Here is a 19062-nt window from a genome sequence, read left to right as displayed (position 1 = left end):
CCAAAGTGCTGGGATTACAGGTGTGAGCCACTGCGCCTGACCTTTTGTTGGAGGTTTTACTCATGAAAGGGGCAGATTTTTATTTTGTTAACAGGTGGTTGCCATTTAGTCATATAATCAAAGTAAAGTTGATGTCTTTAGACCTGCTGATCAACTTTGTTGTTGTTGTTGTTGTTGTTGTTTGTTTGTATTTTTGAGACAGCATCTCACTCTGTTGCCCAGGCTGGAGTGCAGGCGCCAGCCACCACACCCAACTAATTTTTGTATTTTTAGTAGAGACAAGGTTTCACCATGTTGGTCAGGCTGGTCTTGAACTCCTGACCTCAAGTGATCTGCCCACCTCAGCCTCCCAAAGTGCTGGGATTACAGATGTGAGCCACTGCACCCGGCCTCAATTTGTTTTAAATAGTTGGCCGCTAAGCTATCATTAAGGGTAGTCCAGTATTATATAAGGTAGACTGATCAGATTTTTTTGTCTAGTCTGAATGCCAAGGCCCTTAGCCACCTAGAGGTTCTCTGAAAATCACTGACATGAGGCAAATTGATTAATGGGAGAAAAGGCATACACGTTTATGTAATGTGTATACACAGGAGCCTTCAGAATGAAGACATAATGATAACAGGGGAAATTGTCCATTTTTATGCTTAGGTTCATCAAAGTATGGATGGCACATAGAAATATGATTGAACAAAAAGGTAATCAACTCAGTGGGGAAACCCAGCAAGCCTGTCTAGGTTCTTGGCCTCTCAGAGCATGCATTCCTTCCTTCTGGGTGTGGGGCAGGACCTGCCATGGAATGGGGAGTCTTATGACCTACAGTCAGACAAGAGAGGTTAGATCATTTCTTCATCTTTTTTTTTTTTTTTTCTGTTTCTTTTTAGAGACAAGGTCTTGCTCTGTCACCCAGGTTGGAGTACAGTGGCATGATCTTGATTCACTACAACCTCTACCTCTTGGGTTCAAGCGATCCTCCCACCTCGGTCTTCTGAGTAGCTGGGAATACAGGTGTGTACCACCATGCCCAGCTAATTTTTCAATTTTTTTGTAGAGACAGGGTCTTGTGGGTTGTTGCCCAGGCTGATCTCAAACTCCTGGCCTCAAGTGAACCTCCTACTTCGGCCCCACAACCACAAAGTGGTGAGACTATAGATGTGAGCCACTGCACCTTGCCTAGTTTTTCATGGTCAGTTTTTACTCAGAAAGGTGGAGGGAAAATTTGAGTAATAGGCATATGTGTGTGTGTGTATATATATATATATATATATTTTTTTTTTTTTTTTTTTTTTTTTTTTTTTTTTGAGACGGAGTTTCTCCCTTGTTGCCCAGGCTGGAGTGCAATGGCGCAATCTCGGCTCACTGCAACCTCCACCTCCCAGGTTCAAGTGATTCTCCTGCCTCAGCCTCCCAAGTAGCCGGGATTACAGTTGCTTGCCACCATGCCCGGCAAATTTTTTTTTTTTTTTGTATTTTTAGTAGAGACAAGGTTTCACCATGTTAGCTAGGCTGGTCTCAAACTCCTGACCCCAGGTGATCCACCCTCGGCCTCCCAAAATGCTGGGATTACAGGCATGAGTCACTGTGCCTGACCAAATTTGAGTAATATTTTTAGATTTTATGGCTGGCTTTGGGGAAAGGGGGTTCTGGTTTCTATGACTCACTTTGAGGAAGAGAGACTGTAGTTTTTCTATGGCTAGTCTGGGGAAGAATGAGACAGACAGGAGGGCAGAAGGTCAGAGAAAAACTTTTGCTTCTGAGGCTGCTGCTGAGGCCTTCATTTTGGGGTATGGCTTTCTGAGCCCCACTACCAGCAAACTCATTTTTAATTTCTTACAGGAAAAGTTTAATGAATTAACTTTGTACAATACTGAATGGTACAAAACAAAAAGCAAAATTTCACCCTGTACCTCTGTTTTCATTACCCTCCTCAGAAGCAACCATTCTTGATTATTTTTATTTCTTTTGATCAACTTAGTTATATTGATGTATTTTATCATAATCCAAAATGCTACACTAAATTCCTTAGCAATTAGAAACCTTTACCGGATCCATCTTATGAACTTCCTTAAAATTTGTATTTTATAATATGTGTGTAATGAAAGGGGCTTGGTTAGAGAGTACACAATAGTGTTTTTCAAATGAAAGCTAGTTTTTATCCCTAAACATGATGACTTGTCTGTGACAGTAAAACGCAGAAGCTGCTCATTAGTTTTACTTCTTTTCTTTCTAGTTATAATTATTCAATATGTTCCCACTGACTGAGGAAAACAAGCATGTGGCCCAGTTGTTGCTCAATACTGGTACTTGTCCAAGATGTATCTTCAGATTCTGTGGTGTGGATTTTCATGCACCTTACAAACTTCCATACAAGGTATTTTCTTTTCTTTTTTTTTTTTTTTCAAATTAAGAGAAGGTTCTCTGTATTTTACAATGAATGCTTGTACTTTTGAGGGCAGGTATCTATTCATAACTCTTTTTTAAATTAAAAAACTATAATAAAATGAGTGATATTCATAATTTTGGAATAGTCTCAGAAATGTAAGTTCCTTCTTAAGTGATTATATCTAGCTTTCTAACATTTAGTGTAATGGGATCTTTGTGGAGGAACTCCCTGGTGCATTTGAACACTTGTATAGATGTTTCCTAAAGGATATCTAAACAGAATATCACAAAATATTGCTTCCTCCCAGGAGGGGCTAATATTCCTTACATGTCCTACTATGTGGAAGCATTGTGGGTATGGTTGCCTTTTTCTGTTTTTCCCATTTTCTGTATTACCAGTTGTGTTTATAAATAGGTATTTGGAATCCTCTAGAAATAAATGCTTATCATCATTATTACTGTTATTAATGACAAAAGTAATATACAGAGATCTTTGACATTTATGGTAATATACAGAGAGCTTTGAGGTTTAATATAACACTTTTTTGCATAAGATATGTAACATCTTTATGAAATGTTTGATTCTAAAAGTGATATTCTTTTTAGAAGCAGATAGTAATACATATGTAAATATATACATTATAAACAGTATGTATACAACATATACACACACAGTTTCTTATAATTTAAAAAATTGTCCAGGAGTTAGTAGTATCAGTTATTTTTAAAATGTTATTAGTTGTTTCTATTATTTTGGCAATAATAATACACAATATTCAATTATCATTACTATATGTCAAGGTCTTATATAATTCTCATAATAACTGATTAGGTAAGTACATACTATGATTGTCTCTATTTTCAGATGAAGAAACTGAGATACAGAGAGGTTAAGCAACCTGCCCAAAGTTACACAGCTATTAAGTGAGCAAGCTAGGATTTGAACAGTCTGACTGAATTCAAAACCTAGGATTTGGAACTAGAAGACATGGATTTGAATCCCAGTTCCACCACTTTCCAGCTTCAGTTTACTCCTCTGTAAATGGGAATGATGATAATACCCACCTCACAGGACTTTAAGGGACAATACCTAATAAAGTACGTGGAAACACTTTGAAAACCAGAAATTGGCTGGGTGCGGTGGCTCACGCCTGTAATCCTAGCACTTTGGGAGGCCGAGGCGGGTGGATCACGAGGTCAGGGGTTCAAGACCAGCCTGGCCAAGATGATGAAACCCTGTCTCTACTAAAAATACAAATATTAGCTGGGCGCCATGGCAGGTGCCTGTGATCCCAGCTACTTGGGAGGCTGAGGCAGGAGAATTGCTTGAACCCAGGGGTGGGGGGTGCGGAGGTTGCAGTGAGCCGAGATCATGCCACTGCACTCTAGCCTGGGCAACAGTGTGAGACTCCGTCTGAAAATTAAAAAAACAAAAACAAAAAACCAGAAATGGTACTTGTGCTATGATGATTTAAATATGTGTATATTCATTTATACACAATATGACTGTAAAGTAATAAGACTGGTTTTGTGTAACCCTGCTTACACATTTTTTTCAGACACACTGTAACCTATTATCTATTATATGTTATTAGGTTTTAAATTTATATTATATTAAGAGACTGAGTGTTATCAACTTTCGTTTGTTTCATTTTATGTAAGGCAATATACAAGAATATTTGGACAGCTTTTTGGAAATGTTCATAAATTTTGATCTGTTCTATTCATGTAACTATGTATGTACATGCACATCTGTATATGCACTATGTTATATCTATATTATAGATCTTAGGTAACAACAAACATATTTGTGTGAGTCAAAATGTACCTGTATATGTATGTATGTATGTATATTTCTCTGTTAAAGCAGGAGAGCTAATTTCTCAATAAAATGGATTTAAATTTGTTTGAGTGAAAGATTTTTTCCCTTTACAGTCAGTAAATTGTCATCTGAATGAATTTGAAAAATATACTTTTTCAACAATGGCATAATAAAACATGTCTAAACAAAACAGAGGAAAATCCTCTGAGTATTTTGATGAGAGGAATATCTGAATGAGAGAAATATGAGAATGGTTTCAAAGAAATGCAGGTTTTTAAATTCTAATACAAGACAAATTAGGCAAACTGGAATATAGTAGAGCATGGCTTTCAATTAATATATGGAAATGGTTTGTAATCATATGCTAACTTTCAGCATTGTCAGCATTTGTGTACCTTTCTTAGTAAATTTTCTCCAAATTATTTTTACTTATTAGACTACCCTAATGATCAGATTTCATATTAAATAAATATTGTACTTGTGAGCTTTCAGTGATTGTGAGGTTATTAAATAACCTAGCAAGGATGGAAATTCAGTTTGTACTTTTTATATGTTAATCATTAGAACTAAAGTTTGTTTTTACTGAAATTAGCAATGAATGACTCTCACAACAGAACTACAAATTAATAAATTTGTATTGGAGCCTTTCTCCTCAGATTTATGACTTTTGCTTCACTGATATATGGAACTCTTTTGAAAAAGTATTCACATATATAATAGAGATAGGTAATTCTCTTTTAAATTCCATAAAAGCCAATGCTGGCTAATAACTGGATTGCTTCAGAATTGATATGTCAACATTGTAAAATTTGTGATATGTCCTAATTTTCACTCATGTTTTCTTGTTTCATCTTACCTAGAAAGCCTTAAGGACATTGTCAGTGGGTCATTACTTTTTCTTTCATTAACTTTCCAGGAGTTGCTCAATGAACTACAGAAATTTCTGGAAACTGAAAAAGATGAATTAATTTTGGAAGTTATGAACCCACCTCCCAAGAAAATTCGACTGCAAGAACTGGAAGATAGTATTGATAATCTAAGTCAAAATGGAGAGGGAAGGATCTCTGTTAGTCATGTTGGAAGCACTGCTTCCAAGAACTCAAATTTAAATGTATGTAATGTATGCCTAGGAATTCTTCAAGAATTCTGTGAGAAAGATTTCATTAAAAAGGTAAATAACCTGTTTTTCATTATAGGTGCAATTATGTAGAGATTTTCAGTCTTAAAACCAAGAATTCTTTTTTCTTTCCTTTTTTCAAGACAAGACAATTCTTTTTTGGGTCTCATTCTGTTGCCTAGGCTGAAGTGCAGTGGTACAATCACAGCTGACTGCAGCCTCCAACTCCTGGGGCTCAAGCAATCCTCCTACATCAGCCTTCTGAGTAGCTAGGACTACAGGCATGCACCACCATGCCCACCTAATTTTTTTTCTTTTTTTTTGAGATGGAGTTTTGCTCTTGTTGTCCAGGCTGTAGTGCAATGGTGTGATCTTGGCTCATCGCAGCCTCCGCCTCCCAGGTTCAAGCAATTGTCCTGCCTCAGCCTCATGCCTGGCTAATTTTGTATTTTTAGTAGAGACAGGGTTTCTCCATGTTGGTCAGGTTGGTCTCGAACTCCCGATCTCAGATGATTCGCCTGCCTTGGCCTCCCAAAGTGCTGGGATTACAGACATGAGCCACTGTGCCCAGCCCTAATTTTTTAATCTTTTTGTAGAGGCAGGATCTCCCTATGTTACTGTGCTGGTCTTGAACTCCTGGCCTCAAGTCATCCTCCTGCCTTGGCCTCCAAAGTACTGGGATTAGAGGTGTGAGTCACTGTACCCGGCCAAGGCCAAGAATTCTTTTTTTTTTTTTTGGAGACAGAGTCTCGCTCTGTTGCCCAGGCCGGAGCACAGTGGCGCAATCTCTGCTCACTGTAAGCTCCGCCTCCCAGGTTCATGCCATTCTCCTACCTCAGCCTCCCGAGTAGCTGGGACTACAGGCACCCGCCACCCAGCTAATTTTCTGTATTTTCAGTAGAGACGGGGTTTCACCGTGTTAGCCAGGATGGTCTTAATCTCTTGACCTCGTGATCCGCCCGCCTTGGCCCAAAGTGCTGGGATTACAGGCGTGAGCCACCGTGCCCGGCCAAATTCTTTTTTTTTTCTGTTTTTTTTTTTTTTTGAGACAGAGTTTGGCTCTTGTCACCCAGGCTGGAGTGCAGTGGTGAGATCTCAGCTCACTACAACCTCCGCCTCCCAGGTTCAAATGATTCTCTTGCCTCAGCCTCCTGAATAGCTGGGATTACAGGCACGTGCCACCACGCCCAGCTGATTTTTGTATTTTTAGTAGAGACGGGGTTTCACCATGTTGGCCAGTCTGGTCTCGAACTCCTGACCTCAGGTGATCCGCCTGACTTGGCCTCCCAAAGTGTTGGGATTATAGGCGTGAGCCACCACGCCCGACCTTCTGGTTTCTGTTTTTGTCTTTTTTGAGACAGGGTCCCACTCTGTCACCCAGGCTGGAGTGCAGTGGCATGATATTGGCTCATTGCAACCTCCACCTCTGGGCTCAAGTGATCCTCACGCCTTAGCCTCCCAAGTAGCTGGGACTACAGGTGCACGCCACCATGCCCAGGTCCAAGAATTTTTATATTGAAAGGAACACTGCCGTTCATTTCAACTTGTTTCACACAATTGGATCATTAAAATATTTTCTTTTTTTTAAAAAAAAAAAAACAAAAGCCTACTCTTCTCAAATTACTTTTTAATTGACATATCTGAAAATTAATAAAATGTGTATTCATGTATTTCAGTCATAAGTGCTATTTAATTGAAGAAAAATATAGCAGTTTGTTTTCATTTTGCTGTTTAACATAGCTAAGTTACAGAAAAGTTCATTTCTAGTTGTCCTTATTATTGTCCTGAAAAGACTAGTGGTACAGCCTTGTAGAAGGTAAATGATTGAATGTGGGATTGCCTTTTGTTTGTTTTTTCTGTCAAGAGTGCTATATTTGGGTTTATTTTGTTTGAAAGTTAGGGGTGACCTAATAGAAAGCTATTTTGACACTTAACAGTTTATTCTGAAGCTGTTACTCCTGGCTGTTTTGGTTCCTTGTGGTATTAGTCTTCAGGGTCATAGTTAGGCAATATTTAATCTCAAGATATTTGTGAGTGTTCCACTGTCAAATGTGAAAGTTTGGAAGTTTTGCCATGTCATCTCCTGGACCAGAAATTCATGTTATTAAGATTAGGGTAAGTAATATTTTCAGCAATTCCTGGGAATTTACATAATTGTAATGCTTTTTCAGGTGTGCCAAAAGGTTGAGGCCTCTGGGTTTGAATTCACCAGCTTGGTATTTTCAGTCTCCTTCCCACCACAACTATCTGTAAGAGAGGTAAGGTCATTTGCATGCATAAAACTGTATGTGAAGTGCATGCTAGGAATTTCTCAAAAAATGGGAATGTAGAAATATTCCTTACTCTATTATATTTTTTACATTTTGTCTACTTATTGAATGATTGAAGCAATTTATAGCTGCTTAATAAATACTTGTTGAGTGAGTGAATGACAAAAGGAATTAGTTGTGTCCTAACAAAGCAAGTTAGTTTGTCCTAGGACTGCCATCTTTTTTAAAGTCCCTCAATCAGTTGCAGACATTCATTATTAGCTCCATGTGAGGCATGATGGTCAGAGAAAGAGATTTGACTAGGTTTCCAGAGATCTTTTGAGGTGGATATGTGCATTTTAGAATAGTCCTAGAATAGGGTCATTTCAATTATGATGAGCCTTCTTCCCTTTGGAGTAAAATATAAAAAGATGGCGTATCTTCCAGTCAATGATAAAAGGGAGAGAAATGGCCTCATTTTTTTTAAACTGTTTTCTTTGTTAAGTGAAAAAAAAAGTCACTGCTGTAATATTCTTATGTGTCAAAACTGACATGAAAACATAAAGCTTTGCTAATACTGTTAAATGAAGCATAGTGAGAAACTTCTGTAATCTCAAATTACAACCATGGGTTCTAAGCATATTCGTTTATATTTATGAGATGTCTTTCCCCTAAGAAACCTACAGTATCACCAGAACATTACATCATAAACCCTCACTTTCTTTGGGTGAGCATGTTTATTAGCTCCAAATAAGCTGAAGATTGTTGAAGCTGGATAGAATGATACAGAAGAGCCAGGAAACGAAAAAGGGTAGAATGATTTTATATAGTATCTGTGTTGCTGACAAGATAACTGAGCAAATGGAAAAATAAAGGGGATGATGATGATGATATAACTGGGCTTATAAACACTTAGAGTCATTTTCTAGTCAATCATCAAAGCATTTCTCACTGATGTGCCATCTTCTGGTCCAATTTTGGTAGAGAGAAACAGACTTCCGAAAGCTGAGTGACTGTCACTTTAGTGAAAGTTTTGAGAAACAAATAGGAATAAGAAGTATATTTTCTGAATGTGGTTATATATCTTAAAACCAAACCCTTCCTCTCAAAGCTTATGTTTATATATTTCCCTAACCCTCAGAGCCTGTGAATCAAAGTTTATATTTTTACATTAAGATTCATATTATCCATTTTATCACTTATTTGATGATTTTAACAATATTAGCTTAATGTTACTATTTATAAGGTATTTATATTCCGTATTAGAAACAGAAGATTTGTTTGTTTGTTTGTTTGTTTGTTTTGAGACGGAGTTTCGTTCTTGTTGCCCAGGCTGGAGTACAATGGCGCCATCTCGGCTCACTGCAACCTCTGCCTCCCGGGTTCAAGCGATTCTCCTGCCTCAGTCTCCCAAGTAGCTGGGCTTACAGGCATGCGTCACCACGCCTGGCTAATTTTTATTTTTGTATTTTTAGTAGAGACGGGGTTTCTCCACGTTGGTCAGGCTGGTCTCCGACACCCGACCTCAGGTGATCCGCCCACCTCGGCCTCCCAGAGTGCTGGGATTACAGGCATGAGTCACTGTGCCCGGCCAGAAGATACTGTTTTTAAAAATAGAATTATTCTGCTTAAACTCTACTTTTTATAACTAATTTTAGCCAGAAAACTATTTAGCAGAAATATGTGACTGTTCTGATTATTGAAGAATTAATATGTTTCCATAGTTTAGTGTGCTATGTTTTATTGTTTTATTTGTAGTAATGACTAATATATTTTAACCTATTCATTTCCTAAGAATAAAAATTCAAGAAAGTACAGTTTTATATGCAGTATACTCTTTTCACATCCCAGGTTTCTTCAGAAAATTATGTTTATGGTTCACTTCGTGATTTGCTGTTTTTATGTTACTTTCTCTTTTTTTTTTTTTTTTTTTTTTTGAGACGGAGTCTGTCTCTGTCACGCAGGCTGGAGTGCAGTGGCACGATCTCAGCTCACTGCAAGCTCCGCCTCCCAGGTTCATGCCGTTCTCCTGCCTCAGCATTTCAAGTAGCAGGGACTACAGGTGCCCGCCACCATGCCCGGCTAATTTTTTGTAGTTTTTAGTAGAGATGGGGTTTCACCGTGTTAGCCAGGATGGTCTTGATCTGTCTTCTGACCTCATGATCTGCCCGCCTTGGCCTCCCAAAGTGCTGGAATTACAGGCGTGAGCCACCATGCTTGGCCACATGTTACTTTATTTTATTGCCGTCTTTTATTATTTCTTTGGAGTTGAGATATGCTGTGCAAGCCAGGTTGGATAGAAATTGCTTTTTAAACCACTTATTTGTTACACATCTCAGTTTAAGCTAGTTACGTATATCTTCAGAATATTCTGCATTTTGAATATAAATTAAATTCTGTGATTTCTCTAGTGCCATGTTCTACATTGTGGCTTTCAACTTAGACCTTGTAAATATCTCTACCTTAGAACTTCTTTGTCTGTTTGTAGAACGAACGTCAATATACTATCCATAAAATTGATTGATGTCAATTATCTCATAATTCACACCAGAATATATAATTGAGTCCATTTGAATGATTTGATTTTTTCCACTTCTAAGAAGTAGATTATCACAGATCTATTTAAAGCAAACAACACTTTATCAATATGGTAGTATTTATTATATTCCTGCTTACAAAAGAAACAGAGGGTGGCCTCAAGTAAAGTTTTTTAAAAAATTAAATGGCTAGTCACAGTAGCTCATGCCTGTAATCCCAGCACTTTGGGAGGCTGAGGTGGGAGGATCTCTTGAGTCAGTTCAAGACCAGCCTGGGCAACACAGTGAGACTCTGTCTCTACAAAAAAATTTAAAAATTAGCTGGGTGTGGTGATGCGTATCTGTAGTCCCAGCTACCCTGGAGACCAAGGTGGGGGGATTGCTTGGACCTGGGGGGTTGAAGCTGCAGTGAGCCATGATCACACCACTGTACTCTAGCCTGGGTGACAGGGCAAGACCCTGTCTCAAAAAAAAAAAAAATTAAGCAATAAAATTTGCATTAACGCATCTATATTATTGGTTCTACGAATCCCTTTCTGATGACAGCAATTTTTTTTTTTTTTTTTTGAGACAGGGTCTTGTTCTGTCAGCCAGGCTGGAGTGCAGTGGCGCAGTCTCTGCTCACTGCAGCCTCCGCCTCCTGAGTTCAAGCAATTTTCCTGCCTCAGCCTCACGAGTAGCTGGGATTACAGGCATATGCCACCACACCCAGCTAATTTTTGTATTTTTAGTAGAGACGCGGTTTCACCATGTTGGTCAGGCTGGTCTCAAACTCCTGATCGCAAGTGATCTGCCCGCCTCGGCCTCCCAAACTTCTGGGATTACAGGTGTGAGCCACCGCTCCCGGCCCCAATAGTTTTTATTTATCATCATTATAAAAGCATTAATTTAAAAGCTTAGAAAGAAAAGTCTATATTTTTGTTCACAGTTAGTATAATAATCATTTTCCACTGAGTTCAGGAGAATATGGAAGCAGGATGGAGTATATCTCCTAAATGTGTTTTCTTAGAAGGAACTAGCTAATCAATCAGAACAGCTTTAAACTTAATACTGCTAAAGAAGAGAAGCATAAGCAGATTAACTGGTGAAACAGTGTTACAGTAAGACGTAGTAAGTAGAATAAATAAAGGCGGTATTCAGGGTTTCACAAGAGAACAATATGGAAAGTTGTGGGACATAATGCTTAGAGTCTCCAAAGTCTATAATGGCATAAACATTTTAATAATAAATTTGAGATTATAAGAGAGTAATAAATACCTTACGACTGTCATGGTGAGTTTCTGGGTTTGGTCTTATCATTTGAATGTAATAATGGAAGGATAATTCCTTCTTATAAGGCTCGGATTTGTTAAGAGGAAAGATGTAGTAGTGTGATATGGCAAGAAATTATGTACCTGCACTGAGATTTGAGATCCTGAGAGTGATCTCATGGTGGTACCTGTGGTCCCAGCTCCTTGGGAGACTGAGGTGGGAGGATCACTGTAGCCCAGGAGGCGGAGGTTGCGGTGAGCTGAGATTGCACCACTGTGCTCCCACTCCAGCCTGGAACAAAGTAAGATCCTGTCTCAAAAAACAAAACAAAACAGGATAGATAGAGTAGTAGAAGTATACTGTATAATATCTGGCCAAGGGAAGGGTTGTTTATTTACAGATACAAAATAATCACAAAGGCTAATGAATACAGTAGTGTGAGGGACTCCCAGTGTTTCGGCACATGATGGAAATCATGTTTAACTAAAAGTGTGTTATCTGACAACTTTTAGATTGGAACTGTTTCTTTTCCTAAAGTAGTGGTTCTCTAACATGCATGAGACTCACTTGGAGAGTTTCCCAGGTCCCATTCCCAGAGATGCTAATACAGTAGGTCAGGTGAGACTCATGAATTTGCATTTCTAACAAGCTCATAGGTAATGCTTGTGCTGTTACAATGACAAAACTTTGAGAACCATTTTCCTAAAGGATGGTGGGGGAACTAATCTAGTCCTAAATGAAAAACTGATAGCCTTTTAAATGTGTATTCCTGAAGGATGGGAGGAAGAGGCATAAGTAGAATATATCCTAAACTTTTGATAAGTGGATTTCAAACACTACAAAGAAAAGGCAAAGAAAAATGGCATAGGATTCTGTGCTGGAAGATAAATTAAAAGGATTGAGAGCATCAGAGAAAGTGCAATTCACATTTTAATTCAAACCAAACTATCTCAATGAATAAAAAAAAGGGTGGGGGAAAATACATCTGAATGAAGAAGTAGGGATCTCTTTCTATCTCTGCCTCTGTTTTTACACAAAGGCTTGTATTTAGATATATTTATTTGACTTTTTAGTTTGGCCTATGAACTCCTGTGTACCTGTCATCCGACTTCAGCAGTTAAATTTTTTGCCAACCTGGGATCAGTTTCAGAAGAAATACAGGAAAGGTGAAGTCAAATTAATGCAAATGAAAGAGGATGGCTTGGCTGGGTGTTGGCTCATGCCTATAATCCCAGCACTTTGTGGGGCTGAGGTGGGTGGATCATCTGAGGTCAGGAGTTCGAGACCAGCCTAGCCAACATAGTAAAATCCCGTCTCTACTAAAAATACAAAAATTAGACGGGTGTGGTGGTGTGCACCTGTAGTCCCAGCTATTTGGGAGGCTGAGGCAGGAGAATCATTTGAACCCGGGAGGGGGAGGCTGCAGTGAGCCAAGATTGTGCCACTGCACTCCAGCCTGGGGAGACTACATCTAAAAAAAAAAAAGAAGAGGTGGCTTATGGCTTATGTCTATAAGAACAGCAACCAGAAAACTAAAGCTACTAATGAATAGAAGCTTTCAAGAATTGCTAAGGAAGATTTGTGTACTTAAAGTTATGTTTAGAGCAAGAAATAGATGAAAAGCATGGATAGATCTGCTATTTGGAACTGATAGTATACTGCTGATGCATGATATAGAGAAAGCAGGGCTCTGAAAAATCCTGTTTTGCTTCTGTCCTTTATGTCGAGGAAAATGATCTTCCTGCCGAAAAGAGGTAGACTGGTCATTGGTAAGGGAGAACGAATGCTCCACATGGTGAAGCTTTTCAAGATGGGTTCAGGTGTTTAGACCTGGGTGCATTACATTTCAGTATAGCTTCAGAAAGAACTTGCAGCTATTCTTGATTTTTGAGGGCTTTTAACCCATTTATGCTGGAGATTGCAAATTTTTTTGGTGAAAAATCAGACCTTGGCGATGACCTAGAGCAGTAGGATATAAATATCTCCCACAAGCTTAGCGTTCTAATAATGGAACACTAGGAAAATGGGTTAAAAATAGCAGATTTTACAAATGACTGGAGACAGATAAAGGCAGTTGCAATTTTCCAAAGGGGAAGAAAGTTGGCCACAAAGGTCAGGGTAAGAGGGAGATGTGATTATAACATAATGGTAAGAGAGATGTAATGTTTATTCTGAAGATGGAGGAAGGGAGCCATGAGCCAAGGAATGCAGATGTTCTTCTGAAGCTAGAAAAGGCAAGGAAACAGATTTACTACTTACAGCCTCCAGAAGGGAACACAGCCCTGCTGGCACCTTGATTTTAAGCCAGTGAGACCTGTGTCAGACCTGGGACCTAAAGATAATAAATTGGTGTTGTTTTAAACCACTAAATTTGTGATAATTTGTTATAGAAGCAATAGAAAATGAATACACATTTAGAGGATTAAGTGCATTCAGAATGGTGGAGCCATCTGAAACCTGGTCACAGGAGCCACTGCTGAAGGAGCTTGGGTTATTTAATTTTGAGAATAGATGATTCAGTGGGATGAGTTTGCTTTCCTTAAATATTTGAGGGGCTTCCTTATAAAAGAGGAATTAGATTGCTGCAAGGATAGAATCAAGAGCTATTAAGAATTTAGAATTATCCAGAACAGGATAGATTGTTTCCAGAGATTTCACGTCATTAGGGTGTTTAAGCCAAGGCTGGAAAATACAGTTGTCCCTTGATATCTGTGGGGGGTTGGTTCTAGGACCCCCGAGCCCCTCACAGATACCAAAATCCACAGATGCTTAAGTTTCTCATATAAAATGGTATACTATTTGCATATAACTTACACACATCCTCTTGTATACTTTAAATCATCTCAAGATTACTTATATACTACAATGTGGGTGCTATGTAAATAGTTGTTATGCTACATTATTTGGGGAATAATCACAGGAAAAAGCCTGTACCTGCTCAGTACAGATCCTTTTTCCCCCCTAAATGTTTTCTATCCAGGGTTGATTGAATCCATAGATGCAAGATCCACAGATACAGAGTGCCAATGTACTTGGCCAAGATACATAGAAAGAAAGTGTGCACTATATAGTTGGTTAGACTAGAGATCTTAAGCCTTTTCAACTCTAAGATTCTATATAATTTTAAGAAAAATACTTATTATAGTGTTTATTTATTTGAGATGGGGTCTCTCTCTGTCACCCAGGCCAGAGTGCAGTGATGTGATCACAGCTCACTGCAGCACTTGACCTCTTAGGCTCAAGTAATCCTCCCGCCTCACCTTCCTGAGTAACTGGGACCACAGGTGCATGCCACTATGCCCAGATAACTTATTTTTTATTTTTTTGTAGCAATGAGGTTTCCCTATGTTGCCAAGGCTGGTCTCGAACTCCTGGGTTCAAGTGATCCTCCTGGTGTGGCCTCCCAAAGTGCTAGTATTACAGGCTACTGCACCCGGCCCTATAGTGGTTATTTTATATTCATGATTGATTCCTCTAAACTTCTACATCATAATGCCACACAAAAACTATAGAATGAATGTCCCAGACATATGCTAATATTAGGCTAAATTTGTATTTATGGGAAAAGAGTATTCCATTAAGTCCTTTTAAAAGCTAAATGCTTTTCAGTTTTAGTTTTTAGGTTCATCTTTACTAGTTGAGTCCAGTAGAGGGCAATATTGTACTATCAGTTTGGCTTATTGGTCTCTTTTCATGGGTAGTGTATGGGAAACAGTTTGCTTAGTCCATTGACTTTAAATGTATATATTGTCTTTTAAGTGTTACTTTGGATGAAACACCTGCTTATCAATTTGCAACTTGATATGGTTGGAGTTTTGTCAAATCAAAACTTTTTTCCTATCATTTATTATACTTTATATCTGCATACTTTGCAGTAAGTACTACAAATTATACATGACCCTAGAAAATTAGCTAAGAATAAAAGCACTACCATTTCTACCCATCCAAGTGCTAACCAGGCCTGACCCTGCTTAGCTTTTGAGATCATGTGAGATCAGGCACATTCAGGGTGGTGTGGCCACAGACAGCAGTACAATTTCTGTAGCAGCATTTTTTTATTTAAGAAATTGTCTTCTTTTTTTTTTTTTAAGATGAAGTCTCACTCTGTCACCCAGATTGGAGTGCAGTGGCGTGATCTGGGCTCACTGCAACCTCTGCCTCCCAGGTTCAAGCGATTCTCCCGCTTCAGCCTCCCTGAGTAGCTGGGACTACAGGTGCATGCCACCACATCCGGCTAATTTTTGTATTTTTAGTAGAGACGGGGTTTCGCCATGTTGGCCAGGCTGGTCTTGAACTCCTGACAGGTGATGCGTCCGCCTCGGCCTCCCAAAGTGCTAGGATTACAGGCATGAACCACTGCACCCAACCTGAAATTGTCTTTTTAAATTCTGGAAAATGGATATTCAAATGGCTTTGGATTTTTACTTAAATCTGTGGATTCATAACTAATTTAGGATTATTGATCTCATTCAGAATCTGAAGAAAGCAGTGAATTCCTTTGTCCTAAAAATGCACATACTAAAAATTTTGTATGTGTTTACAGAGGCCTCTTAAACTCTCAGGCCATTAGTCCTAGAATCTTTTTTAATTGGTAATTTCCCTTCTGTTATTGATTGATGTTCTTTTTCTAAAGGACTATATTTTTTCTAATTATGTTTAGCTCATAAATAGAATGTGTCAAAATTCTCAACTTTAAGTATAGGAGCTATATATATATTGTGTGTGCAGGCATGAGCTGTCATCTTTGTTCATTAACTCCGCTTTCTGATTTAGCATGTGTATTTTCTGCTTTTTGTCCATTTGTGCATGGCTTCTCGATTTTTATTTTGTATGACAGGCACTCTTCCTAAATCTGTGTGTGTTCTCTCTCACCCACCATGTAAGACCAACCCAAGGTCCACTTCATTCAATAAGCCTTTTCTGAGCTTACTAAGGAGTTTTCAGAATTTATAGCCCTATTTTTGGTTAGATTAGTTTAGAACTCCCTTCAGTTCCTATATGGTCCACTTATCCATGCAAAGCAAGTTTGATTCCTTTAAACTTCTACAGCATAATGCCACACAAAACTATTATACAATGAATGTCCCAGACATATGCTAATATTAGGCTAAACTTCCATTTATGGGAAAAGAGCATTCCACTAAGTCCTTTTTTTTTTTTTTTTTTTTGAGATGGAGTCTTGCTCTGTCACCCAGGCTGGAGTGCAGTGATGCGATCTCAGCTCACTGCAAACCCCGCCTCCCGGGTTCACGCCATTCTCCTGCCTCAGCCTCCCGAGTAGCTGGGACTACAGGTGCCTGCCACCCGGCCTGGCTAATTTTTTGTATTTTTAGTACAGACGAGGTTTCACTGTGTTAGCCAGGATGGTCTCGATCTCCTGACCTCGTGATCCACCCACCTCGGCCTCTCAAAGTGCTGGGAGTACAGGCGTGAGCCACCGCGCCTGGCCCCACTAAGTCCTTTTAAAAGTTAAATGCTTTTGAGTCTTAGTTCTTTTAGGGACTACCCCTTAAGCATCTTTCAATAGACTTTTTATGAGTGGGTTGGCGAGTGTATAGTAACCTTGCTAGTTTTAGGCACACAGGCTGCCATTTTTATAACCATTCACAGGAAATGAGTGTGTTCATGCAGCAATCCACTCTATCTTATCAAAGGTAACTCCAAGAACTTGCTTCTGTGAATGTAACATTGGTGTATGAAATTCTGTGTTGTTAGAATCATGGAATCATATATCTATATGAGACCTTGGTGATCAGCTAGAACAGGACTCCCCAGCTTTTTATGGCACTTATTGAAAAACATCAATGTGTATATGGTTGTGATTTGTCAGAGTCTTATCCAGGCCACCACCCAAGTGTAAACCCATTGATACCTATTGGGAATGTCTGATTGACAGTCCAGGAGTTTCCAACCTTTGTGTATAAGGCATCCCCTTTTAATCTCTGACAGTTAATGGGTAGTATCTGTAGATTGGAAAGAAGATATGCTATGGGCAATTTTTTTCAGCTTCACAGATTGAGACCACTTCAGTAGTCATCACACTTATGCTCACTTAAAGAGGAGAAAACCAAGGCTCCAAGTCTCGTAGGGGTATGTGATTTGCCCATGCGTCCCGTTTATTGGAATCTGGATATGCCTCCCTGCTTCATGCTGCTGTTGCTTTTTAAGTTTTTTTTTTTTTAAACCATACCATCTCTACATCTTGTGTATTTTCATATGTTTTATTTACCTGACTACCTTGGCTCCGTGGATATTACCTTTTCTTAACTACTCCCCTTATTAAGCCATACACTCATGAACATCACTAAAGGTCAGAAGATCACCAGAGTGATGAATCCAGGCAGAGCTGCTGTGTTAAGGAGAACATAAGACTAGACATGGGTGCAGGTTTAGGACTCTGTTACGTGATACACTACTAGGATGTGTTGCAAGGGAGAAAGAGTGAGTGACATGTGATTAGTCAAGGTCTATATAGAACCCAAGCCCTGGTTGGCATGTACAATCAGAAGTCCAACTATCAAAGAGTCAAAGCAGATATTGAAGAGATCTAATAACTCGTTATTGGGGTGCTGGCACAAGAAGCCCAACAGATAAAGCACCCAGTCCCCGAGGTCACTGTGGCATGCAGCAAGGAGGAACAAATCACATTCCTGTGAGGAGGAAGCCACAGTCAAGCAGGACTAGAAGCAAGCCTAATTCTAAAGACCACCACAATACTATAATGTATATTGGATTCAGGATTGCAGTTGGCAGGTTATTCAGACACATATTTAAATGCTTAAAGATGCATCTCTTTATGGCATTGCCTTTTCCTTGGCCTGAACCCAGCTAAGTATAATGGAGGAGGAAGCAAGGAAGAAAAGAAGTTGCTGTGGCTCATCTAGCAGTGTAGGTAATTGAGGGAGATCAGGTGCATTCAGAACATGAGGTAGCCTCAAAGATTTGAAGTTTCTTTTAAAAATGTGTATGGTCTTATTCTTGTGAATTGTCACATTTGGCCTCTTTAAAATTTACAATAAGAAATGGTAATGTAACAGAATAAAAAAAAATACAAGATGAAACACATCCTTTTTCTTTAAAATGATTTCCCTGTGAAATTGAACGTATTAGCACATTGCTACCTTCTAACTGTAGAGATCTTTATTAAACTATTTTTCCTCCATTAATTTTTAGGACCGTGTGGCGTAGTTAAGTTGCTGAAAAGGGGAACTTCTAATTCAGACTCTTGCCTATTTCAGGTCTAGGTTTTTCTTGTTGCGTAGAACTGTCCTTTTTTCTGATACCACCACTGTGTTTTAGACCTAATAATTCTAGCTTACTAAGATATGATTGTTTTTGAAAAATTATTCATAATAATAACAAATATATATGTATGTATGCATATGTATAAAGCAATCATTTATATGTAAAACAGCCACACCACCATAATGTGTAGTTATTTTTTAGGAGGAGCAAGATAAAACCCCTTTCTTAGGAAAACAAGCCACCAACAGTTATTGAATATCTTCATGGCAGAGTGTGTTGCATGTGCTCTTTCATTTAATAATCACAACCCCTTAAAGTAGGTGGTGTTATCATCTCCATTTTACAGATGATGAAATTGAAGCTGAAGGTCACATTGCTGATAAATAGCAGAGCTAGGATTTGAACTCTGATCTATTAAACTCCAAAGTTTACGCTTTTTTTTTGAGACAGAGTTTCACTCT

General features: G+C 38.8%; 1 protein-coding gene and 1 pseudogene across 22 annotated transcripts in view, besides 1 other annotated feature; one reads left to right on the top strand and one right to left on the bottom strand.

The window, feature by feature from the left end:
- PUS10 (pseudouridine synthase 10) overlaps positions 1 to 19062 on the top strand; it is a 78037-nt gene that overhangs the window by 4126 nt on the left and 54849 nt on the right. For 10 of the 22 annotated variants that reach the window (XM_011532574.4, NM_144709.4, XM_011532576.4 and 7 more), the window contains exons 2-4: positions 2229 to 2369; positions 5119 to 5373; positions 7491 to 7577. In XM_011532574.4, the coding sequence (XP_011530876.1) occupies positions 2244 to 2369; positions 5119 to 5373; positions 7491 to 7577 (468 nt within the window). In that variant the 5' untranslated portion in view covers positions 2229 to 2243. Of the gene's footprint in view, positions 1 to 649; positions 697 to 882; positions 1007 to 2228; positions 2370 to 3245; positions 3479 to 5118; positions 5374 to 7490; positions 7578 to 19062 lie in introns of those variants that run through there. The other 12 variants (XM_017003428.3, XM_047443478.1, XM_017003429.3 and 9 more) reach the window with 5 other exon arrangements.
- Positions 1534 to 1703: an enhancer, noted in NCBI's record as "active region_15827". NCBI's record gives its function as "activates an Ori minimal core promoter by ATAC-STARR-seq in GM12878 lymphoblastoid cells {active_cell/tissue: GM12878}" and the evidence as "EXISTENCE:reporter gene assay evidence [ECO:0000049][PMID:35858748]".
- On the bottom strand, positions 15246 to 15382 carry RNA5SP95 (RNA, 5S ribosomal pseudogene 95; annotated as a pseudogene).

Source organism: Homo sapiens, chromosome 2 (genome assembly GCF_000001405.40).
Source record: "Homo sapiens chromosome 2, GRCh38.p14 Primary Assembly".
NCBI classification, from domain to species: Eukaryota; Metazoa; Chordata; class Mammalia; order Primates; family Hominidae; genus Homo; species Homo sapiens.
The sequence above is the reverse complement of the archived record's forward strand: the minus strand, read 5'-3'. Positions and strand labels throughout refer to the sequence as shown.